This window comes from Homo sapiens, chromosome 7 (assembly GCF_000001405.40).
Source record: "Homo sapiens chromosome 7, GRCh38.p14 Primary Assembly".
NCBI lineage: Eukaryota > Metazoa > Chordata > Mammalia > Primates > Hominidae > Homo > Homo sapiens.
The window spans coordinates 132,122,886-132,148,138 of record NC_000007.14 but is presented as its reverse complement, the minus strand read 5'-3'; the positions used below and the strand labels follow the sequence as shown (position 1 = coordinate 132,148,138).

General features: G+C 49.2%; 1 protein-coding gene across 5 annotated transcripts in view, besides 2 other annotated features; it reads left to right on the top strand.

Annotated features, from left to right (window-relative positions):
• PLXNA4 (plexin A4) overlaps window positions 1-24,799 on the top strand; it is a 525,349-nt gene extending 500,550 nt beyond the window's left edge. For all 5 annotated transcript variants that reach the window (NM_001393897.1, XM_017012779.1, NM_020911.2 and 2 more), the window contains 6 exons: window positions 140-239; window positions 1,439-1,629; window positions 2,851-3,020; window positions 7,328-7,540; window positions 14,940-15,090; window positions 17,565-24,799. In NM_001393897.1, the coding sequence (NP_001380826.1) occupies window positions 140-239; window positions 1,439-1,629; window positions 2,851-3,020; window positions 7,328-7,540; window positions 14,940-15,090; window positions 17,565-17,660 (921 nt within the window). In that variant the 3' untranslated portion in view covers window positions 17,661-24,799. The remainder of the gene's footprint in view (window positions 1-139; window positions 240-1,438; window positions 1,630-2,850; window positions 3,021-7,327; window positions 7,541-14,939; window positions 15,091-17,564) is intronic.
• Window positions 8,303-8,503: a silencer, noted in NCBI's record as "peak6730 fragment used in MPRA reporter construct". NCBI's record gives its function as "represses an SCP1 promoter by STARR-seq MPRAs in K562 erythroleukemia cells {active_cell/tissue: K562}" and the evidence as "EXISTENCE:reporter gene assay evidence [ECO:0000049][PMID:32103011]".
• Window positions 12,949-13,449: an enhancer, noted in NCBI's record as "H3K4me1 hESC enhancer chr7:131819449-131819949 (GRCh37/hg19 assembly coordinates)". NCBI's record gives its function as "activates a minimal SCP1, AML or CMV promoter by ChIP-STARR-seq in naive H9 embryonic stem cells {active_cell/tissue: H9 hESC(naive)}" and the evidence as "EXISTENCE:reporter gene assay evidence [ECO:0000049][PMID:30033119]".
• Window positions 24,800-25,253: the final 454 nt, after the last annotated feature.

The following is a 25,253-nucleotide window of genomic DNA, read 5'->3' as shown; positions in this document are numbered from 1 at the left end:
AGCTGACAGCCTCCAAAGTCCCCTAGTTCTCCAGCAAGGCACCAATTTCCCCTTAGTGCCAAGTTCATCATGATTTGTCCTTATTTCCTGGAGTGGCAGAGCTGCTGTGCCTAGGCCCTGAGAAGCTTTTTCCCTGTAGGTGCCAGATGGTTCCGTGGTGGCATTAGTGTCCAAGCAGGTGACAGCCTATAACGCAGTGAACAACTCCACCGTCTCCAGGACCTCAGCAAGTAAATATGGTAAGATCCCACCGAGTGTCCTAGGGAGGCCTGGGTGTCCTGAGCAGCTGTTGTCATGACAGCAGCATAGCCAGAAGGCAGGAGACTCTTGGAGAGGGGAGATGGGGCATCAGACAGGCTGACCATCGGGGAAGAGAGCCAGGTGGGGGAAGAGGACCCTGGTTTCAGTCGGGCACTCTGATGCATAAGCAAGACCTTCATCCACGAGCAAAAGAAGTAAAGCCAACTTTCATGAATGTCTTCCAGGCTGTGTGATAGCTATTATCTCACATCATGTTCATAACAATCTAGTGAATTAAATAATTATTATTTCCCCCTATTATGCAGATTAGTACATTATAACTCAGGTGCACAGAGGCTAAATGATTTGTAAGAGCCACTGTTATTTTGCAGTGGAGTGCAGGTACAGACCAGGTGCGAGGCTCTGCAGTGGTGAGGAGAGGGTGCTGGAGGTGGGGTAGAAGCCAGAAGAAGCCCTGTTCTGCCCTATCTGTGTGCTTTGGGGCTAGTCATCTGACCACTATGAGCCTTGGTTATTTATTTATTTACCAGAAGAAGAGACTGAAAAATCTACCGACTGAACAGGATCATTCTAGATAATCAATAGATGAATACAGAGAATAGTGCCTGCACACAGTAGGACCGCCATTTCTTTTTCCTGCTCAGTACTCATTTCACAACACTTCACAAACACTGGCAGGAATTTCAGCAAATAAACAGGAATAATTGGCGCAGGCCAGAGGGGAGGACAGACGAAGGTGAGCAGGTTACCCAGTGATTACTCATCCGATCAGCGGTTATTGAGGGAGACAGGCTACCTGCTCTTAAGTATGTACTTAATTGGCTGCACAGAACACATCCTGAGACGTGACTTGAGAACTCTTACAAGGAAAAGCATTAAAAAAGTACAGGCTTATATTTTTACAAATTGAATAATTAAGGGTTGACACGATGCAGAGTACAGGAAGAAGGGGGAGATCTGAGTGGGTAGAATTAGCCACAGATAGTTTCCTGGAGGTGGTGAGAAAGGCATCCCAGTTTCAGGGAATGCACCAAACCAAGGCAAGGTGACAGCACCGACCAATGGCAGGAATGATCAGACAGTCGTTGGCTTCTGCCGGAGCAAGGGATGCATGGTAAGTGATGGGCTAAGGCTGTGTGGCCTCACATATGTCGGGGGGTGATCCTTGCCTTGGCAGAAAACATGATCCGGTACACGGGCAGCCCCGACAGCCTCCGCTCACGGACACCTATGATCACTCCTGACCTGGAGAGTGGAGTCAAGATGTGGCACCTAGTGAAGAACCACGAGCACGGAGACCAGAAGGAGGGGGACCGGGGGAGCAAGATGGTGTCTGAAATCTACCTGACCCGACTCCTGGCCACTAAGGTATCAGACTTGAGAACTGGGTGCAGGGAGCCCAGAGGCTATGGAGAGGGACTTCATCAGCCCACAGAAATGCCAGAGTAGCCAGTACCCAGCATTCATGCTGGTGCCCACTCTATTACCCACCCCAGGAGGCACTGCTGACCATTCCCCGTACCGAACCTCAGAATCCTTCTCAATCCAGAACTCCAGGCAAACCCTGCCAATACATCAGTGTTGGCATGCAATCTGAAGATTTGTTTCTACCCCTTCTCCATGCCCTTCTGAAATACTGAGACTCTAACTGCCTCTTTTCACATTCTTCTGCCATGCCTTATAAAAGAATGATTTCTTCTCTGTGGTATCATCTACAATCTCAAGTTGGGGAAGTCGGGGCTCCATCACGACTTCCCAGGCACCATATCTTTTCTTTTTTTTTTTTTTTTTTTTTTTTGAGACAGAGTCTTGTTCTGTCACCCAGGCTGAAGTGCAGTGGTGCAATCTCTGCTCACTGCAACCTCCTCCTCCCAGGTTCAAACAATCCTCCTGCCTCCCAAGTAGCTGAAACTACAAGCATGCACCACCACGCCTGGCTAATTTTTTTTTTTTTTTTTTTTTGTATTTTTAGTAGAGGTGGGGTTTCACCATGTTGGCCAGGCTGGTCTTAAACTCCTGGCCTCAAATGATCCGTCCGCCTCAGCCTCCCAGAAGTTGGGATTACAGGCATGAGCCACCGTGTCTGGCCTCCGGCACCATTTCTAATCCTGGTTCTGGGGACGTTGCTTGCCTGCAGTGCTAGTCTTTCACTCCTGAGACTGGGCTCAGCTCTGCTCTCTGCAGAGCCAAGTGAGTCACTGTTCATTAGCCAGTGTGAGTAATGCCCAAACAAAGCCAGCAGATTGTGTTTGTCTGCTCTGACCAAGTGAGTGTTCATTAGCATTTGTGAAAAGTGCTAAAATAACACCGCCAGAGGGTGTTCAACCAAACCGTGTTGTTGGCAGAGGAAGCCTTACGTAGGTCCAGTCATCAGTGTTATATCTCTTTTCCATGTGCAGGGGAAATTTAAAGCTGTTAGAGACAGATGAAATGGGAAAAAATGATTTAATGCATGGACTTACCCAATTTTACCCAAGTAGGGTGGGCTGTATACCATCCTCCCCTGCCTAGGTCTGTGAGGCAGGTTTTAAAAGCCATCCTCAGAACTACGTGAGTCGAGCTGTGTCTGGACGTATCCTGCCTCTCCAGGGCACACTGCAGAAGTTTGTGGATGACCTCTTTGAGACCATCTTCAGCACGGCACACCGTGGCTCTGCCCTGCCCCTGGCCATCAAGTACATGTTTGACTTCCTGGATGAGCAGGCTGATAAACATGGCATTCATGACCCGCACGTCCGCCATACCTGGAAGAGCAATTGGTGAGTGAAGGGAGGGCAGGGGGCACATCGGGAGCCCTGAGCCCACCCAGCCTCAAGTTAATGGTGGTGGGACTCTGGGCCTCCAGGAGAAGGGCTGGCCAGAGCCTGTTTTCATCAGCAGGGACTCTGAGCAGGCACATTCTCTGGTCCTCCCCATCCACTCTTCCTAGATTTTTGTGCTCACTCCCTCTCTTACTTCCCTCTAGTCAAATCTGTCTGTGCATCTTTCTTTCCTATCACTTAGTCAGTTAACAAACATTTATTGAACCAGCTGAAGAAGCAAGAAAAATATGCCAAATGTCACGGCCAGGACACTCTCCCATCCAAGTACCTCCTGGGTGCCTGTGATTATGCTAGACACGGGGCTAATCAGACATGGCCCCTGCCCTCAATGAACTGACAGATGAGGGTGAGAGGCAAGGAAGTCTGCTGGTGTGGGACAAATGCTATGGAAGATGGAGGATGTGTCGTGTGCAACCAGATCTTAGAAGGGCAATGTCTAACAGTGACTTGCAAGCAGTTTTGAAACACACTTAGGAACCAGCCAGGTGAACAAAGGGCATTCCTATTCTATTCAAGCAATTGCTCTCTTCTCTTTTCCAAGCTCTGTGTGGTGAAGAGACCTGCCCTTAACCACTATGTCTTCCTTTGAGACAACAGGATTCTCCAAGTACTAATTGACACTCTAGGTGTTCTCCCCTATGATCCCCTCTCTCCTTTTAACATGGATCATCCTTCCTTTCACTTGTGAGTAATTTGTATTTCAGGTTGAAATTTCAAGATCGCACATCAGTATTCAGCACTTAGTACGGAAGCTTGCATAAAGCTGGGTCTCAATAATTATTGATGAGATGCAGAGCCAAGGTGGTCTCTGGTTGAGAGCTCTACCTGAGGCAAAGCTGGCTTATCCTTTGTCCCATTGCTTCCAGAACTGCCTCCCTGTAGCTTTTCCAGATCTTCTTCCCCAGATCATTCTTCTGAGGCAGTGTGGGCCTGTTGCCCGCACCAACAACTGCTAGGATGGGCAAAGCATTAGGGCTCAGCGAAGCACCCTGGCACCTAGCCCTGGGCCCCAAAGCAATGCACAGATGAAGGCAGAAGTCAGGCTTTGGTACCAAAACTGTATTCAATGTAGTATACTCTGGCTCCTCATCCTCTTCACCGGGAGAAGAGACTATCCCTGCTGAATATGAAAAACCAGGTAGGAACCAAGGTTGAGACCACAGAACCAAAGCATGGGGTTTGCTCCCATATTAACTCCTAGTGAGAGAAGACCTTCGTTCTGGGGTTCTTCCAACCTTTCTGAAATAAGACTCAAAAATCTAGATTGCTCACTCAGTGTAGCAAAACTTTGTGATGCGATTTCCTCCTTTTAAAGCTGTGCTGGGTCTGATATCTCCCAGGACCTGCCTTTAGGTAAGATGCGTTTAACTCTTCTAGACTTTGTGGCGTGACTACTGGGAGCTGTTCAGTGGGGCATGTCCCCAGCCTACCAATCTGCTTCTGTTAGTGAGTCTTCCTACTTACTGCCTCCATTGAATGTTAGCAGCCTTCAGGAAATTTTTAAAAAAAAATGCTCTGCCCAGAACTTCTCTCGGTCCTAGCTGGAGAAAGTTGGGTCTTTCTAAACATTTCTACCTGCTTTTAGTAGCACAGTGCAAGAATATCACCTACAATGGTATCTAAACCATTTGTTTTCACCCCATCCCTCCTGCTGGGGCAAGGCCACCTCCAGGGGTGCCATAATGTCCTTGGAGTGGAGCCAAATCTTCTTGGATGCCAGCTCTTCCAAGTACTCAGGTCTGAGCAAAGGAAATCCCAGAAAGTAGACAGTTTCCCCCAACCCTGAGGACACTTTCCCCCAACCCTGACTTGATCTATTGCTATGCTGAGGAAGACACAGTCTGGGAATTTTAAGATCTGCATATTGACTTGGAGTTAATTGTCTCTGATGGAAAAGTGATTATTTTTTTATTCCTGGCCCAAGGTGTAACCCACCCTCTCCCCACCCCCTTCTTCCACAGTTCCCTACCTCTTCTCTTTTAAATAAACCTCCTGCTCATTTAGCCTGAGTGGCTGCAATCAACCAGAGATTAGTGCCACCACTAATGTTAATAATATGCTAATATTTCATTAGGCGGGAACCTCAGGTGGGTGCTGTGGCTTCCCTGTTTGCTGTGCCTGTCAGCAAAACTGGCTTGAGGACCGGGAAGCATAGGGAAGAAACAACCGGCAGAGCAAATGTGGACTCCCAGAGTCCCTATCCTTGGTGTAACTTGTGGAACAACAGGAAGATGTAAACAGAGATTTCGTTAGCTGGAAGTCGTGAGTCCTGCATTCAGGGCTCTGAGCCCAGCTGTCAGGAAGGCTGGGCAGCTGGAATGACCCCTACTTTCACCTGGGTGTTGTGGCTGTCTGAGCTTTCCTGGGTGCCATCCCATTATTTCCTATTAGGGATTTCCAGGGATGAAGCAAACACCGCCAAACATTTTCAGACCTCAATGCTGCCTGCCTGAGTCCCGCCCTGCACACTTTGTAGGAACTTAATAGATCCTTGTCGACTGATTGGCAGTCTTGAACATTAGGTTTTCCTGTATTAATAGCATTTGTTATTTGTACATGCTGGCTGCTGGGAGATAGAGCAAGTATAGAAATATTGTACTGGTTCTATTGAAATGATGTAATTCAAAGAATTTAAGTTCTAACGAGCAAGCCAAACACATAATGAATATTCTAACTATTACCATCAGTGAGAACAACCACCAAAACAATAAAACATCAGGGGAAATGGCAGGAGGCAGAGGTGGGAGCAGAGGAAAGAAGTAAGCAATCCCTTGCATGGTGCCTAGCCCTCTTTCCCACCTGCGTCCAAGCAGGCTGGTTGGAAGCCGTAGGATTATAGCCTGCAGGGATGGCTACAGCCAAAAGGGGCAGAAGGTCCCAGGATTGGGACATTATAAGCAACAGGCTTACAATAGCAGACTGCAGGGCACACTTTTCCCTCTTTGTCTTTGTTAATGCAGATTTCCTGTCTGCAGCCCATCCTCCACCACCTTCCTCCAGGCCTCACCCTGCTAAGAAACACACAGGCCAGGCACAGTGGCTCACGCCTTGTATTCTCAACACTTTGGGATGCAGAGGTGGGCAGATCAACTGAGATCAGGAGTTCAAGATCAGCCTGGCCAACATGATGAAACCCCATCTATACTAAAAATATAAAAATTAGCTGAGTGTGGTGATGGCTGCTTGTAGTCCCAGCTACTCAGGAGGCTGAGGCAGAAGAATCGCTTGAACCCAGGAGGCAGAGGTTGCAATGAGCTGAGATCGCCCCACTGCACTCCCGCTTGGGTGACAGAGCAAAACTCCATTGAAAGAAAGAAAAAGAAAGAAAGGAAAGGAAAGACTTACACAAGTTTTAAAACTCCCACCATCAAGTGCCCCCTTTGTGAAGGCATTCTGGACACTGCCCTCTGGGTAGGCTTGATGCTTCCCTTGGTCCCATGCTGGACCCTACACATCCCTGGTCCTAGCACCAACAGTCCTCCCGGCATGTAGTTGATTTCATGTCTGCCTTTCCATGAACCCACCAGAATGCAGGCTTCTTGAGAGCAGAGGATGTGTCTCATTCATCACTGTATCCCCAGTTGCAAGCACAGTTCCTGGTGGGCAGGAGGTGCCAACTGGAGGGGAAGGAGGGAATACGATGGGGCCCATGAGGTGGGTGAATGTGGGTTTTCAAGCGTGCCAGCTTAGAAATGAAAAATCAGTCAGCTACACTGTACTTCTCAGCCCCAGTAGGAGTAGGCTGAGAGGCCCAGGCAGGGAGGAAGGGTGTGACTTCTGCCAAGTCATACAGTAGATGGCAGAGAGTCAGATACAAAGCCTAGATTCCAAGCAATTCCTTACAGTTTGCCAACTAGATGCTCTTGTACCAGGCTTAGGAGCAGACAGACAGAGAGTTAGAAATTCCGCTTTATAGCATACATCATGGCTGCCTTTTAGACCAAAGGGAAGATGATGAGCCCTGCCATCAAGGCTGGGTATCAAGTCCTCTCAAGTACCTACCAACATTATATCTCTGGATGAATTATTCAGCCTTGCCAGTCCTCAGTTTCCTGGAAGGTAAATTGGGGCCCTGCAGACCTGCCTCACCTCCCTTCCCTGGCACATCCCATCCGCAGCATAGAGAAGGCTCTTAAGTTCTATTAGTTCCCCAGGCTTCTCTCCTTCTCCAGAGACCCCTCCTACCCACACCACAGCCCCACTGCCCCGTCTTTCCTGACCATCTGCCTCTTCCTTCCACGCAGCCTGCCCCTGAGGTTTTGGGTCAACATGATCAAGAACCCGCAGTTTGTGTTTGACATCCATAAGAACAGCATCACAGACGCCTGCCTCTCTGTGGTGGCTCAGACCTTCATGGACTCTTGCTCCACGTCAGAGCACCGGCTGGGCAAGGACTCGCCCTCCAACAAGCTGCTGTATGCCAAGGACATCCCCAGCTACAAGAATTGGGTGGAGAGGTGAGTGCTGGGCCACGGAGCCAAGTCAGGGCCCCTTGCTGGAGCCAGCAGCTCCCTCAACAAAAGGTCCCCTCCCCATCAAAAACCAGCTGTGTTTCCAGATGAGTCATTCACAAAGCCTAATCCTGCCACTGCAACACCCACACCCCCAAGTCCCAGTGCTGCTGTCCCCTGAAACCAGAATAGGAAAACTTGGCCAGAGGTTGCCATGGTAGCTCAGCTTCCCTAGATAACAGGCCCTGGAGCCTAGTGGCTGAAATGTCTTCTAGGCCCAGAAAGGAGATGCGGCTCCCAGCTCTGATCTTCACCACCCACCCCCCAAAAAATAAATAAAAACTGTCATCATAACACTTCAAGGGGCCAAACTACATCATTGCTGCAGAAAAGGCTGGAGGCCTCTACCCATCTGCTACCGTCTGGCTGGCAGTTCCCAGCATTCAGTGGGGATGCCTTTGTCACTGTCTGAACAGTTTCTCACTCTCCCCATCCCTTGACTCTTGCATGAGCTCTTAATGCCCTGGTTCTTGCAGCGTTGTGATCAAATCCCAGTGTCCTGCAGAGCTCTCGTGACTGAAGGTCCCCCTATGAGCCGCAGGGCTGGGCTCTTCCTAGGGCAGTGCGACTCATGGTAAAGAAGGTTAATGGTTTGTCTGAGCCACATCAGCTCCATACGCCAAGCACCTGAACTAAGCAACCAGCTGAAGCTTTATTTATTCATCACAGAAGCCCTGTACTAGGGAGAGGACAGGAACTATAAGCTCCTTTTATGCCATGAAGGTGAAGAAATATACATGCAGAATGGCTAAGTAATCTGCCCAAGATGATTTAAAGAACCAAGATGAAACTAGATCCCAAGCCTCTTAGCTGACTCCCAAATAACCTTCCTACTTATTTGCGTTACTTTCAGACAGGGCCTCTGCCAACCCATATGGTGCCTCTGTATGGTTTAAGAAAGATGCCCCTTCCTACAGAATGAGGTAGCCCCACACCAAGTGCGTAGTTTGCTGAATGATGGGCTTTGTCACCCCCAGCTCATCCTCTTGTCCAAGTACCTTTGTGCAGTGAATAACCTGCGCAACTCTACATGGCAGTCCTGCATTTAGACTTTCTCTTTATTCTAAGTAGCTTAAATATAGGAAACCTAGAGGGAAGCTCAGATATGGTGCCTTTTGAAGAGTAAAAGAGTCCAGAAGGTGTTCTTGACTTGGTGACAAAATGAACTTTATCATTTTGCCTATGATAGAGACAGCCTCTGTCTTTATACTTGAAAATTGCCTTCCCTTATAAAAAGGAAATAACTAAGAGGGAGTAGAGTCCTGGCCACCTCAGTGCATTAGTGTCACTAAAAGGGTTTGATTTTGTTTTTCCCTCTCCCCTCTGCTCTTTGATACCCTCTCCTCCTTTCCTACTGATGCAGGTGGTGGACATGCCACCTCAGCTGTCCAAAAGGAAACTAACTCTTTTGTCCTAGTGTCTGATTATGTCTGAGTCACCTAGACAGGCTCTCACCTCCTGCTATGTAGACAGTGGCTCACTCTCCCAACAATAGAGCTGCCAGGAGCAGGCCCTCCAGCCCCTCCCATGTGGACAGCCAATTCTTCAGCAGGGAGAGGGGGAAGAGGCAGCAGCTGGGCTGTTGGTCATCCGAGTGCCACAGTGTCATTGTGATAGTGCCCCAGGCGGGGAAGGGGAAACCAGGGCTGTGAAGGGCTGGGAACATTTATAAAGTGTCTGCATAAAGGACACTTCCCAGGAACAGGCTGCATAGTCAGAGCTGAGGCTCATGCATGGGCTGAGCAAGTGGTCTCCTTTCTGCTTGGTGCTCAATGAGGTTTGTGCCATGCAGCTGCTGCAGGTCACAAGTAAACTCAGTCCATTGGGTTATTTTTAGGAGTGATTTGATGGTTTCCATTTCCTATCCCACTCGTGTCTTAGCAACCACTGACACTTTCAAGAAAGTCATCTTTCACTTACTTGAAGCCCCAAATCTTTTCTCCTTTTCGGGACCGGGGTACAAAGACAGATAGATCGAGAAAACAGCACAGACAGGGCTGAGGTCAAGCCCAGAGTTCTTCTTCACTTGGTGATGGAGGGACAAGTCCACGTCCACTCCCACTCCCAGAGGAGGTATCCTCCGAGCTTGCCTGGCTCCCTGGAGGGGAAAGTAAAGTCCGGCAGGGCAGACCTCACCTGGGACCACAGCACACCTGATCTCCCGCCTCCCCATTCCAAGGAAATTTGCAGCCTGCAGTTGAGGATGATGGTAGAGTGACCTGGCCACGGCTTGGTCACTTCTGAATTTGCTCCCCTGCTGTTGGTCAAATGGAGACAGTCCTCCCAGGACTTTTTACTTAGAGGCTCACTGCTGTGGAGTGTGCTCTGCATGTATTTGGGGAAGGTTTTCTGCACCATCACAACTAAAAAATAGGGCTTACCCTGGCTGGTCCTCTCTTCAGAGCAGGTGAAAAAGGGAAGCATATAAATTCAGGAAGCCTCAATAACTCTTGGTTGAATGGCATAGATGATTCTGCCAGTATGTTGAGTCTTCTAGAAATTCTTTACCCTCCCACTCATCTTTTCATCTGTCCTCCCACCCATCCCCCACTCATCCTTCCATCTAGTCTCCCACCAGTCTTCTTATCTGTCCTCTCACCCATCTTTGCGCCCATCCTTCCACCATCCTCATACTCATCCTCTCATCCGTCCTCCCACCTGCCCTCCCTTCTCTCCTCTCACTCATTCTCTTACCCATCCTCTAACCCATCGTCCCGCCTGTCCTCCCATCCATCCTCCCACCTGCCCTCACTCCTGTCCTGCCATCTATTTTTCCATCTCTTCTCCGATCTCTCCTCCCACCCATCCTCCTACCTGTCCTCCCTCCCACCATCTCCCCACCCATCCTCCCCTCCCATTCCTGCCTCCAAGTACCTTGTAATAATGGTGGTTTGTAGCCCCACTGTGGATTCCCAGTATTCATTCCCCTCATCCAAGAATTTAAGCTTTTGCTTATGGCCGAATCTGGAAAAAGGGAGAAGAGTCTCTTGGTTTCCAATTAGCAGTTAACTACTACCTTCACCTTACAGACAAAACACAACAGTGTCATCACCATGAAGTGGCGTGTTGTGATTAGTTGTAGTTTTTGTGTCATTACCAGTAGCAAAACATTTGCATACTTTAGTAGTGATTGATTTCCTCTGATTTTAACTTGGAAGAGTTGAAAGGTCATTCTTGCAGCAACATTGGCCTCACTCACTTGCCATCAGTCAGCTTTTAAGAAGTAAGTAGAATGGAGTCACAGCAGGCCACAGGGGTTTGGACTAGAGTGTGCCACACATTTGAATGTCATCTATCATGTGTGTCACGGCATGAAAAAAGGTTAAGAATTTTAAATATTTAAATATGCCTCCTATGGAAACCATCCAGTCAAATACATAAAATGGTGACAGCTTACCCTGGGAGCAAGATATAGTCTAGAGGTGAGATATAGACATTTCATTAACATATTCATTAATTCATGGGTCAAACATTAATGGTATCCATCATGAGTGAGTTGGGTACTTGAAATGCATTGAACTTGACCCTTTCTTTGCAGCTCCTGTGGTCAGGGAGGCCACACAGATGCTCAGCAGGCCCCACAAGCATCATAGTGGGGAAGTCAGGGTGTGGGGCCTCGTTCTGCTGGGCCCAGAGAGACCCTCCCATGATTCACAGAGGAAAAGACTTGTTCAGGGCCTTGAAAGGTACATATTGGGAATATCAGAGCATCAGGCTGGAAATATCTTTCACTCCTGCATCTTCATCCTCGAGGTGTGTGGAGGAATGCCAACGCTGTGTCCTTTCCAAAGAGTTTAGGGCATTGGAGACCATCTTCCCAATCACTACAGAGCTAACCTAAAGGCAGATGTGAGATACGCACTGTCACTCTCTGGGCCCAGGATTTCTGCTGGCATCCCACTACCCCATAGAAATCCACAGACTAGGACCCTGCAGACTGGCCAACAGTGGAGGATGCGGCTCTGTGGGGTGCTGATCTTTATGGCTGCTCCCAGAGGCCTGATGTCAGGACCTCAGGGGTGCTGGCCTCCTCCCTGCTGTGAGCAACTCAGCAAAAAGAACCAGGGAAGGCCAGTGGTGGGACCAGCTCCTTCTTAGCAGGTCAGGCCTGGGGCAGCTCGGAGGGGTCCTGAAGGACTTCCTGGAGATGGGCTCACCTGAAGGCAGAATGCCCACAGGAGCAAGTTCAAGCACAGGGGCCCAGGTTCCCCTTTCCCTTCCTCAATGCACAGCCAGCAGATGAGAATGCTTGTTTAAAGTTCCTTAACAGAGCCTAATTGTGTTCTTCCTGATCAGTAAGGCTTCCCAGTGGAGGAGCCCAGCACTGGGGCCGGCACAACAGGAGCGAGAAGGAAGCAAGGTTCACCCGGCAGAGGTAGTGCCGCATGAGTCAGCGTCAGGCACAAGGTGCTGGCTAGGGAGTGGGAGTGGGGGAGCAGGAGGGGTCAAGACAGCATCAACAAAGCCCTGCAGAGAAGATGGGACCACTTAGCAGCAGGCAGGCTTAGGATCAAAAACAGGGTAGACTCTCAGCAAGACTTAAGCCCCACACCCACAGACACTGGGCTGTCGGTGGCCATTCAGCTCAGCTGATTTAGAACTTGCTGAAGATGAGGTCATGCAGTTGGCCCACCTGTCAATAGTATGTGGCCACAGACGTGCCCTGATTTGATCCAGCCTCCCCAGTGCAAAGGGAACAGGAAAGAGACAGGAGCTACCCAGCAAGGACCTGACCTGAGAGAGAGGATGATGTGTTCAGGAGAGGCACGTCACCCAGGACCTCTAGATGAGATGGTCAGGGCCCCAGCCCTGTCCTACCCTACTCTCAACTCCCTGCCCTCCACCCCAGCAGCTCTCTCTGTCTTTCTCACACACACATATATACTTCTAGATATTCTCTTTGGAGAAATGGACAGGGCTTTTAGTGTGCTACCATGAGGCAAGACACTGTGAAGGCAGAATGCTGGGCTTCTGTTTTTTTCCCTAGTGATGGTCTCTTCACTGCAGACACAGTGGCCCCTAACCGAGGATTCCTTACACCTCGGGGACTATAAAGGCAGCAAGAAGGTCCCTGGCACTGTTTGCAAAAAGCCTGACAGAGCCACCTGCCTACTGTGAAAGGTTCCACAGCTGGTGAGAGAAATTACAGGAGTCTTTGCTTTTGATGACAGTTGTGTCCTTTCCATGGGAACCTGGGTTTTTCACCTGGTCAGAGGCTCTGATTGTGTACAGGTGACAGAGTATACCTGTCTGGTGGAAGCTTGGAACTCAGCTGAGTTACCAGAGTTGCGTGGCTGGCTGCTGGCCATGGTACCAAAAGTGAGTGAGGTTATTTGTTCACACTTTTTACAAATAAAGCCTGTGAAGATAGCCCTTTACTTGACAAACATATCTTGCTTGGTAGACATGGGATCCCTAAGGGGACAATGACACAAATCTCCTTGGGAATGGCAAGGTTGGGAGCTACTACTGAAATCTCTGGTGTCCCACTATAAAATGGAACAATGGCATTTATTGCATTCCAGAAATGGTTACAATGAATCAAGTCTCGCTGCAATTTTATACCTGGAATGTCGTTAAATTACTCAGAGCCCTGTGTCCTGAGGTACCTGAGGATGTGTTTTGGGGCGGGTCACAGGCCTCGAAGAGAACAGGCTCTTCTGGGGATGGAGCAAAGAAAGCAAAATGAAACAGGAAGGGGTACTGGGCCCTGAGGGTTCTGAAGGTGGAGGAGGGGCGGGGAATGGAAGAAGATGTGAAGGATGGAAATACAAATGAGACGGGGGCAGGGCGGCCTGTCTGAACACCCAGGCTGCTCTGAGAAAGGCCATGTTATTACGCCCTTGGCCTTGTTGCCTGTCTCAGGCTCCTGCCCAGCCAAAATGCTACCAGTTCAGCAAAACAGTTGAGAAAGTGTCTGGTATGTGGCCAGGGGAGTCCCCTCTGACCAGCCCCTTCCCTTGCCAGGGAGCACAGCTGTCATCTCCCTCCCTCTGCCTCCCCATTTTCCAGGCAGAACAACAGATCTGCAATCCCAGTACCACTGTGGCTCAAAGCAGGGAAGCCATCCCAGCCCTCACTAGCCCAGGGATGCTCTGGTGCAAATTGAACTGTCATTCCATTGCAGGCCCTTGAGCTGATGACTGAGATGGCACAGGAAAACCATCTCTGCCAGTCTTCACCCACCTCCTAGGCACTGATGGGAACAGTTAGAGGTCAGGGAAACAGCACAAGACAGACAGGGTCCTGGTTGGAGAAGTGAAGGATAGGGCTGGGAAAGACACAGGGCTGGGGTGCAGAAGGAGACTGTCCCGGAGCCTCTGACCAAGATTCAAGTTCTGAGAACTCCCAGGGTCTGTCATTGTCACCAATACTTGCACAACCCCAAGAGTGAGTGCCTTTTCTTAAACTTGGTGCCTAGGTGCCTTGCTTCATGCACCCTAGTCCCTGCCCTGCAGACTGTCCTCCCCCATCCCCTCTGATCCTAGGTTTCAGGTTTACTTTCTCCAGCATGGCAGCCACAGGGATTTGGCATGGGCTGGATTGGGCTAGGCTGAGCTGGGCCACCACAAGGCCTTGAGGTTTATGATGCCCTCCTGTCATTGCAGTTACCTCTTCTCTTTTATGCAGTCCACAAGCCCAAAAGTACATAGGAGAGGGTGAGAAGTGGCTGTCTTTGGGGACACTGAGGCCTTTCAGTTCCTCATTAAGAAACTGCGCAACCCCCCTCTGGTGGGGGAGTTGAGGTTTGGTGCATAAAATGTCAAATTGCAGAAATTAAAAATGTAAATGCTGGCATCTACTTAACCAGTTGACAGCAGTGCACAGCTGCAAGTGACAGTGACTGATTGCCTTCTACCAGTCTCTCCCTGAGTAGCCTCAGCCCTGCCTCCTCCCATTTAGCCCCCAGAGAGTGGAGGACATCAGAGAAGAGCAACCGCTCGGAAGAGCCTTCGGGCCCTGCTGGAGGAGATCCCTTGCGTCTGTGGGAGGGGCGTTAGAGAAACTCAAGACAGTCTAGACCTCTCTGTGTGGTAGCTGAGAGCAAAGAGGATGCCCGAGTTGGGACCCTCTGGCTCTCGGTTCCTCTCCTGTCTTGGCCACTCCCCAAATCCCTTCCCTCTATGCCTCCTGCATCCAGAGCTGCAGAGGGCTCTTCCTGGTTCGGACCCAGCAACCCAGATGAGAGAGAGACCACAGTGGTCCCCAGGTGGCCACAGCACAAGTACCCACTACCTGCAGTGCAAGCTGAGCTCATGGCCCCAGACACGGTGCTGGGAGCATCCATCTCTCCTCTACTCCGTATGCACGACTTCAGCTTCTCCCTATTTCCATCCCTCCACAGGTATTACTCAGACATAGGGAAGATGCCAGCCATCAGCGACCAAGACATGAACGCATACCTGGCTGAGCAGTCCCGGATGCACATGAATGAGTTCAACACCATGAGTGCACTCTCAGAGATCTTCTCCTATGTGGGCAAATACAGCGAGGAGGTAAGCTTTGCCCTGCTCCAGGCCCATTGGGATGGAAGGGGGAAGAGAATGAAGACAACCCTGCATGCCTCCGTATAAGAGATCATCGCCACAGACACATCCACCTCTGCTGGGGGAACCACCACTGAGGACCTGGGGCTGTGATCCAAAGGCTGGGATGCTAGAAACCCTCCATCCCATAAATTCTGCATTCATCCCTGTGCTTCTTAGATATGTAAATAAGTACCTGTTTCTTTTATATTGTCTTTTTTAATTCTTATTTTCTCTCCTGTATTTCTTCTTTTTTATGTTTTCCACATCTTTCTCTGATCTAACTCTCTTTAAACAGGCACCTCCTCACTCCTATGGGCCGGCTATGTGGTATGGCATTGTATGGTATGATATGGTATGTTGTAGAATAGAATAGAAACAGAATAGACTAGAAATGAAACAGAAGTGAGTCAAAACAGAATGGAATAGAATAGAATGGAATGGAATGGAACGGAGTAGAATAGAATAGAATAGAATAGAATAGAATAGAATAGAATAGAATAGAATAGAATAGAATAGAAAAGAATAGAGCAGAGCAGAGCAGAGCAGAGCAGAACAGAACAGAACAGAACAGAACAGAACAGAACAGAACAGAACAGAACAGAACAGAACAGAACAGAACAGAACAGAACAGAACAAATAGAATGTGTTTTCTGTTTTGTTCCCTCACTGGAAAATCCCACCTGGGGTCATTGCCACTATATACAAGGCCTTCTTTCTGGCCAGTGCCATGGTGCTTTGGGAGTTTTCTTGCCTATGCATGGGGTCAGGAGCAGCTGGGAGAGAGAGGCCCCTCAGACATCTTCTGATCAGCCCAGGAAGCTCAGGAAGACACAGGCATGTGCAGGGGCACACACGACACTGCTGGGTAGGAGGAGGCCTGTGTCTTCCTGGGCTTCTAGTCAGCTCTCTTGCCATGGGTCTGGCCATCCTTGGAATCCAAATTCCCTGCATCTGAGCAGCAGCATAGCCACCTTCTCTGAGTGGACGGTAGTAAGAGAAGCTGAAGCTTGTGCCCCGAGTTCTCTATTTCCTCCCATCCTCATCACTTAAGGAGAGTCCAGGAACCCCCAGTTAAAGAAGCAGACCCAGCAGGCCCAAGGCCTGGAGTCCTGCAGGCCATGAACAGCCTAATTCTGTGGCCCTTACATCATGGGAGAGCCAGTGCTGGGTCCCTTAGGGGAGGGACCCTGATGCCAGTCTGCAGGTTAGTATTGGTCTGGGGCAGAGTTTTCCCCTGCCTGCGGCAATGCAAGATAATAAGGATGCTATAGTGTGCACCAGTGTAATATTCCAACCGTCTCCTCTCAGAAAGGATTCTCTGTTAGTCTACAAGTACACCTGTCTACCTTGGTGTTTAAATAACCCATCTATGAAATGATGGCGCGTACAAATGACAGTTCTTGGCCAGCTCTATCCTGCTTCCACAACTAAAGAAACATTAACTGGGTCATGAAATCCAAAGCCCTGGGCGCCTCCCTTGAGCCTCCTTCTCATCTCCTTGCCCTCCCTTCTTTTCCCTGCCCCTCAAACTACAACATCAGTAGGTTCCACCCAATTGTCTAGTGCCTCTCGGGGGGCAGGCCTTGTGTTGAGGGTGCTCACAGATGTTATCTGACATCCTCTCCCCTGGAGGTGGATTAGTCATTCCTACATTAACAGTTGAGGACGTTGAGTGTTCAGACAGGTTACCTGTTTGGCCTCAGATCACCAAGCTAGAAACTGGCAGAGCCTTTACTCCATCCCTCATCTCCTGAGTCTGAGTAAAATTCTAGCATATTTTTCATCATGGGCCACATTTGCTGGCTGTCATTGTCCTCTGCTAACTGCCTGCCTTCAGAAAAGGCTTTGGTAGACATTATCCATTAGGTGTTAATGACCAGGAAAGCTTGTAGTCTTACTCTTCTAGGGACATTTGTTTTTTAACAGGCAAAGTGAAAACAAATGACTTTCTAAATGTAGAATTTGGGGCCTCAAGGAGCTGATGGATTTTTATTTCTGCGGGAGGAAGGGTGGGATGTCTTAACATCCATGAAATCACATTCCGGCTCCATGCTGAGCACTACGCATTTCCATCGGATATGGAACTAGCTGCTGTCTAACCTGCAGGTAACTGCAGCATCTCGGCACAGGCACTTTCAGCAGAGCTTCTGCCCTCTGTCTACCATCTTTTGTAGCCAGTAGAATGCACACAGTCATTCAGACATGACTGTGTGTGCTGGCATCCTGTGCTCACTGCCATGCTGATGCTCACATGCTATGCCTGCCACAACTTCCTGCCCATGCTCCCCAGGTCTCCTCCTACCCCGCAGTGTCCTGTGTGCCCCTGCACATGCCTGTGGCTTCCCGGGCTTCTGACCACATCCACACCATCTTTGTGCCTCCTGAGAACACAGACCTGTACACACAAATGAGTAATCTCCCTGTTCTTGGCCCTTCCGCAGATCCTTGGACCTCTGGACCACGATGACCAGTGTGGGAAGCAGAAACTGGCCTACAAACTAGAACAAGTCATAACCCTCATGAGCTTAGACAGCTGAGAACCGTCCTTCCAGGGCCGCCCTGGAGGGGGACACACCAAGCCGTGCCTCAGTCTAGATTATCATCTTTACCAAGTGCAAGTTCCGACTGGCATCAGCAGCATCCCCTGAGCAGCGCTGTTTCTCTCTCTTTCTCTCTGCCTCTTTCCGTTTCTCCCTCCTTCCTGGATCTCTTCTCTTCCAGTTGCTCTGCCAACACGATTGGACCAAGCCACTGACCCTCAGTTAGTCCAAGAATGGCCAGGCCCATGGCAAGGGAGCTGACCAGAAGATGTCAGAGAGGCCTCTGTCTCCCAGGTGCTCCTGACCCTGTGCATGTCAGCAGCAGGGTGCAAATAACGAATGAGGAGCCAGGGACAGGGGACATTTCTGTGCTGCTACTTCACCTTCCACTTTGGCAGCCCCTGCTTTGGTCTGAGCCTTGGCCTAGGGAAGAGGCAAGGAAGGACTTCAGTATTATCTTTACTGGGAAGACATCACCTGGCTCTCCCTTCCCACAGTTCCATCTCCAGTGGTTCAGCCAGTGGTCTGATCGCTTTGCAGCTGTGAGAAGAAAGGCTACACCTCCTGCATGTGGCTGGAGCAGGGCATGTGTGGGCAGCTGGGAGGTGCTCCTTGAGGCTCCTTCTCCCCCACTGGGCTGGTGTCCAGAGGCTTCCTGTCCTTTTCCAGGTCTCCAGAGGGACCTGCCTGCCCTGCCTGCTCCCCCGCCAGTAGAAAGCCAGGCAGGAGAAAGAATAGCAATTACATTCCACCATGGAGATGCTCCTGACCTTTTCATCTGAATCCTAGTAGCAGAAATGTAACACAGGGGGAGAAAAGGAAAGAGAGTTGCATCTACCCTGGAAGCAGAATTTGTTTTCCATTTACCCTCAAATTCAAATGAGTCACAATCATAGTCATAGGTCTAGTCCACTACCAGAGCCCTGAGTGCTGTCAAGAGAAAGCATCTATCTCCACCCTCCTTTGTCAACCTTCATCAAGGGTCAACGTGAAATGCAGAGTGCATCTAGGAGATTCTACCTCCAGCCATCTCCATGGCTCCATCCCCATCATCCTTCCTGAGAACTCCATAGACGGCTGGGGCCAACAGCCTAGTCCCTGTTCCCTCTGCAGAATCCGGTGCCATTGCTATGCAGATGACTTTGTCACTGGGCTGTCCAGACCTCTTTGGGAATGATTTCATCAACATCTCAGCTGTCTCTCATCATTCTCCTTCCTCATCTCTTCAGCAGTCATCCTTGAAAGAAACAGACTTAAGCAAAGCCTCACGGAGACAGCCCAAAATGCCAGCCAACCTCAGCCTCCAGCTTGTCAGATCTGGGAGGGACAAAGAGTCGAGCTGATGGGCCTGGCTGGAATTAAGAAGAGGGACATACAAATGACCTTGGCCTTGGCATCCATCTCCCCATCTGTTCTTACATCTACAGATGCACGATTTTAGCCAGGCAGGCAAATGTGTGCCTAGAAATTGATACTAGGTAAGCAGAGGCTATGGGGAGAGATGGTCTAATGGAGGGTTCTAGGAACCTTTCATCCTAAGGAGACCTTAGGTGCTGTCTGGTGCAGTCTCCCATCCTAAGCAGGAGTCTCTGTTGGCACCTCTGCTCTGGAGTTGTTCACCACTATGGGAGACAAGGAGAAACATCTTAGGTGAGGTTGAGGAGAAGGATTCACAGTCTTGCCTTCACTCCCCAAACATCAGACATCATTCCTTGTCACCCACTCAGAATGAGCCCCCCTTGGGGAAGAAACCACACCATTTCCAGCAAAGTCCATGGAGCATCCGGTACTTTTAAGAACACTTGCCCCTTTGGATATGAATATGTGCACATGTGTGTGAGCACATGTATGTGTGTGTGTGTGTCTGCCCCAGGTGTAGGCGGAAAGCTCAAAAGGATTTCTTGTCCTTTGTAGGAGGATTTTTGAAGTGTTCCCCTTCTCTTTCCCCTTGCTCATCCATTCATCCTGCAGCTTCAGGACATTTCAACACTTACTTGCTTTCTATGCTGAGAGCTGGTGGGTGGAAGGAGAGGGCGCTTGTCCATAGGAAATCAGGGTGGTCGCCTGCCGAGGCCTGGACCTTGGAACAGGGCATCATGTGACATCGCAGAGGACAGATGGTGGAAAAGACATGAGCAACCTAATGGGAAGAGGAAAATGGGAAACAATGCATTGGAAGAGGAAGAAAAAAAATAAATAACCAAAGGTTTTGGCAAGTGCAGTACCAGGTGGAGAAGCTTGACTTTTCTATCCTTGATCATTTTATTCCCTCCCAAGAAGTCAGTCACAGGACCTGGAAGGCCAGAAAGGGTACATGTGGGAGACGGTCTGAGGAAGTACCTCGGTCACTACAATATTTTTGCACATATAAAGGGTTGGGGAGGAAAGAGACACAAACGTATTTAACACAGATTTGCTGGATGGAAGCTGCGTGTGTGAACGTGTGTATGAGTGAGTGCATTTTGATTTTTTTTTTTTTTTTTTGCACAGTTAAGAGAAAAAATCAAACAAGCAGAAAAAAAAAAGAAAAAAGACTTATCACGGTTCTGCTGAAGCTTTTATTTTTTACTGGATGATGATTATTGTTATTGTTACTTTGGCGGTACAGGACTTTATTTTATTCCATGTTTTTGTTATAAGAAAAATTTCAAACACCTCAGAGAAATAGAAAGGTTAGGAAGAAAGAGGAGACAAGGACAGACAAATTTTCTGGCTGTCCCCATTTCTCCTGGGGGAGGGGTTTGGGGCTGGTTTGACTTTAATTGGTGGGTGGGTTGTTTCTGCCGCTCTGTTTGCTGCAGTCCCCGTGGCCTGCTTGGGGACTGAGAAATTTGAGCCAGGTATCCAGAGCCACAGCCCATCTTGCTTATAAAAATTATCTTCTGCTGTTTGTTTTCCATTTCTTCCGTTTGGATTCTTGGTGCACGTGTGATATGGTATTTAAAAGCAAAGACAAGCAACATTGTCAAAAAGCTGTCCTTGCCCCCCATCCCCCACCCAAATCTTTTTTCCAAACTCCCCCAGGGATCTTCCTTACCCCACTGGCAGAGCAAACATCCAGGGGCTGTCCATGTGGCTTGCGGGCTCCCAGAGAAAGGAATTGGGCCAACTTTGTCCTGTGGGATGGAGGCCCCTTCACGGCCTCCCTCGAGGCAAAGTTAATTTGTAGGGTCACCATTATGTTGAGTCATGAGCAGACAGAAGGAGAGAAAAGGCCATCTTCCTTACCTTCCCCTCCAACTTATCCCGTACCCTCCCAGGGAAAATGGTACCAGACTGAGCCATCAAAATCACTGACAAAGTTTAGGTGGGAATTTTTTTTGCATGTTGGAGAGAGAAGGGCTTAAGGTAGCAGGGAAGAAGGGGGCTTTGTGGGGTCCTAAATTTTAAGGAATAAGTAGAGGAAGACAAGAAACAGAGTGGTAGGCTGGTCATTTCTCCTGGCCACAAGTCCCCCCAGATGCAGCTTTTACCCATTCTTTGTCCTTCCCCATAAGGAGAGACCCTGACATTTCTTGGTAGCTGCAAATAGTGCCACTAAGTGAAGGTGGCCATCATGCCAGTTACTTCCTCAGGAAAATATTTTCTTGCCTTCTTCTTTCAGTATGGTTTTAAATTTGGGAACAGTGGATAACCCAAGTGTCCCACAGGCCAAGGTACATTCCAATGGCAGCATGATCCCTGCACCCAAAGCCAGCCCCTAAAGCCTACCCCTTGTGCACCCGCAGCCTGGTAAGTGAGCTTGGCTGCTTGTGAGGAGCTACAAGTGAAAGAGAAGTTATTTTAAATAAATCCCAAAGTTTGAGGCAGACTGTCCAGGACTGTTCCCAGGAAGAAGCAGGAGTTACCCACAGGAAAAGTCTCTGACCTGGTCCCCTCAGGCCCAGCTACCTGCGCCCACCAGCAGTGAAGGTTGATGTACTGGCCCAGCATCTCCACCTCCCCCATGCAACCAGGTCCCTGGTACCGTGTCTCCCGTTGCATGTCTGGCTTCTGCCTGTGCTCCTCCTGCCACGAGCATCCTCCCTGTCCCTCCTCATTCCACCGTGTCTCTCCTGCACACATAGCCTCTGTCCCAGGGCGATTTATCCACTTGAGTACAGGAGCTGCTCAGACCTCTCAGCCCAGCCCTCTGTGACTGCCCCAGCCCCATCCTACCCCACCCAAAGCTGCCTTCCTGGCTGTAGGAGCTCCCTCGTCTAGCCAAGGCCCTATGGGTCCCCATCCGAGGATCCACAAGCAATGACTTCCCAAATGACCTCCACTGCAAGAAGAATCCTTACCACTGTTTCCAGAGCCGTGAACGATGCTGTGATGGGCCCAGGTCTCAGCACCACCCTCTGTGACCTAAAAAGAAAAGCTCAATTTCCATCTGTCTTCTTTCCCAGGACCAAGGGGACACAGTAATGTGAAGTCAAATACTTAACCGAGCAAAGGGCCAGTATTGTTATCAGTCAAGGACAAACCTCCCACCTCACAGACAGCCAAGCAGTGAGGGAAAGACAGACAGACATAGGTAGGAAGGTGCTCTGCAGGCACAAGGCCCAGAGAAGCCCCTCTCCGGGAACTTCCCCTGCTCCTTCCAGGAACAGTGAGCCCAGTGAGCAGCCCCAGCCAGCTCTTCAAGGCCTTCAAGGGGTCTTTCCATGACTGAGTCACCTCCAGGAGCTCACCTGACCCCCAGAGAAGACCTACCCCAGGCAGCTCCGTGCCCTGGCTTCTCCCCATGCCCCAAATCCCCCCCCGCCATCCCTCCTGGTCCTCGTCTACATCAAGGGCCTCTTCCCCTCTTCCTGCCAGCTCTCAGGACAGGTGACTGGGAGGCCTTGAACCCTCAGCCTCTTCCTTTAAAAAAAACAAAACAAAACAAAACTGTGGGCCATTTATTTGGGATTTTGGAGTTGTTTGGTTTTTGTTTGTATATCTTAATAGTTCGAAAGTAAGAAGGGAGCCCTGCTATGGATGTTAAGTCCAAATTACTCGGTTAGTGGGAGCAAAACCTATGACTTCCAAGGGGATGAGGAGAGGTTCAGAGGACAGGAGGAGCCTCCCCCATTGAAAAAAAAAAATGGGTCAGGACATTCCCTGGATGAGGACAATGCTAGGGGTGGCATCTCACATGGCTGCTGCTATTCCTGGTGCTTCCCCACACTTTTGACAGATGGAGTCCTTCTCCTACCGCCTCCTGCCACCTCACCCTACAGGCATTCTCTATGTAGGAAACAAGAGCCTTATTTTATAGAGTGGGGAGCTGAGACACAGCCTCAGGTAACACTGACACAGCTCCCGAATGAGGCTGGGACACTCTGCAAACCTCTCCTCATGGTGCTAAGGGTGGCATGCTCTTGACAGGAAACCTAAATGACCACTCCTCTCATTTGGAAAGTAATCCACTGCAGTAAAAGTTTCAGACATGCAAGAGAGAGTTTTTTTTTTTTTACTACAAATTTTTGCTCCCCCATAAAATTATTTTATTAGAGGGAGTATCCAAGTTTTAAAAGTATATAGAATTTTTTGGTTGTAAGAGAAATACATACTCATTAGGATCCCGATTAAATTCCTTGAGTAGACTGGTGCCTACCAGAAAGCAAAGCAAAGTTAAACAAAACGAAACAAAATCCTTCATATACAAAAAGAACTTTCTGTTTGTATTGGCAGAGGTAGTGAGGTGATTCAGGTAGGCTGAAAATCCTGGGTTGCGGGAGCCTCACTTTATTCCATTCCCACCCGCTTTGATGTCTATGCTTGGCTCTCTGGGCTGCCCCTGGTACTGCCGAATCCTACACATCTCTTATCAGCTTTCCTCAAACTTTAAGGAGGCTCTGTGAGGGATGGGTCATGGGAAGACCCAAGCTTTCCCTCCGCCAGGATTGCAAAAGCAAGTAGACTTGGTCTATGCAGCTCTTCTTCCAGCAATTTCTTTATTTGGAATTAGAACTTCCTTTGTTAGTATCTTTGATCTTTTGACTCAAGCACATTTTGGAAGGGCTCCCTTACAAAAGTAGAATTTAAAACAGAGGATACAGTTAAAGAGCAACCCAAAGGACGCTTAAGAAACCGAGACCACTTCACCAAACAGGACTAAGGAACACTTTCGTGCACAGAAGTCAGCCGCAATCCAGGCACAGGACGAAGATGGGATACACGTGCTCATCTGTCTGTCCTCCTTTCCTCTCCCTCCCCGACGTTCTAGTTAGCTTGTTGACTTGTTAAACCTTCTGTTCTTAAAATGAAAAGCTAGCTTACCTCAAAGAATCTTGTTTCCATTCGGAAACCAACGATTTTGTGTTTTAGAATGGACAGCCCTCCCCTCACCACTCCCTACCTTGGCCTGGTGTCCTTGAGACATACGGTCTTTGCTTAGTCGTGTGTTGGCTGCTTTGAGCAGGAACAAGGCCTCCAGGCCCTGAGGTGGGAAGGAAGGATTGGATGCCACTGCCCTCCTCCCCACTTTAGCATGTAGGGGCCAGCCCATCTCTTCCAGCAGGGTCCTGCTGAGTTACCATAGCAACCAGCAACTCCAGGGTACCACAACAGACAATGGCTCAGCGAGCCGACGTGTGGGGATGATGCAGGGGTTTTGGCCCAGCCAGAGGACCCAGAGTTGAGCTTCAAATGCTAGAGAAGGGGAGAAACAGGATGGAAGGGTGGTTTAAGGAACCGGCAGGGGTCTTTGAGTCACATAGAGAAGCCGTTGAAGGAGGTAGGGCAGGTTATCTCTGTTCCAGTCACCCCCTTCCAGCCCCATCCCACTTCTGTTTCAAACTAAAGCTCCCACCTCGAACATTGACCCTTTGTTAGAACAAAGCAAAGCATATCTTTAGACAACAGTGTTAAAATGAGCCTCAAATGTATGTGGATGAGATCTCTAAGAAGAGGGTCTTCTGGTTTTGATTTTTAAAGAAGAGTATCCTAGTAAAATATTAAAAAAAAATTAAAAAGTTTTTAAAAAGGAAACCTGTGCTATTTAAATTGGAGCCCAGTTGTAACTTGGTAAAGGCAAGCTTCTGTACCTTTGTTATAATTAATTGTATACCTGTGTATGTAAATATAAGGCATTCCTATTTTGCAGTTCAGAACAAAAAAAACTTATTTGTAATATAGAATAAAGTTTATTAAAAAATAATAAAAATGCAGTTTGGGATTTTGGGTGCTTCTTTATGTGACTGGCTAGGAGGGGCTGGGGGAGAAGGCTGGCTATAAGATGGCAACAGCTTCCAGCATGCAGACACATGGCTGGCACCTTCTCTCTGCAGTTGTGTGACATCTAAACTCAACCACCAGAGATGCATCCTTCTACTTAAGACTCTCTTCTCGGTTGCAAGGCAGCCATCCCGAGGTGGCAACACTTCAAGCCAGGGAGAGTAAGCATGTTACTAGTCAGTGCTGTCAGGAGACAACGCTTTCCTAGGCAGCCCAGTCAGTCCCGGAATCCCTCTCAACGCAGCCCTCCAGGAACTTGCTACTTGCCCATTAGAGTTGGCTCTGGGGATGACACAAGCATTGCCATCTCTGCTTCAGGTCTTCCTGGCAAGCGACACCTTCATGATCAATGATTCTCTCAGCCCCCAACTCCCCCGGTATGTTGAT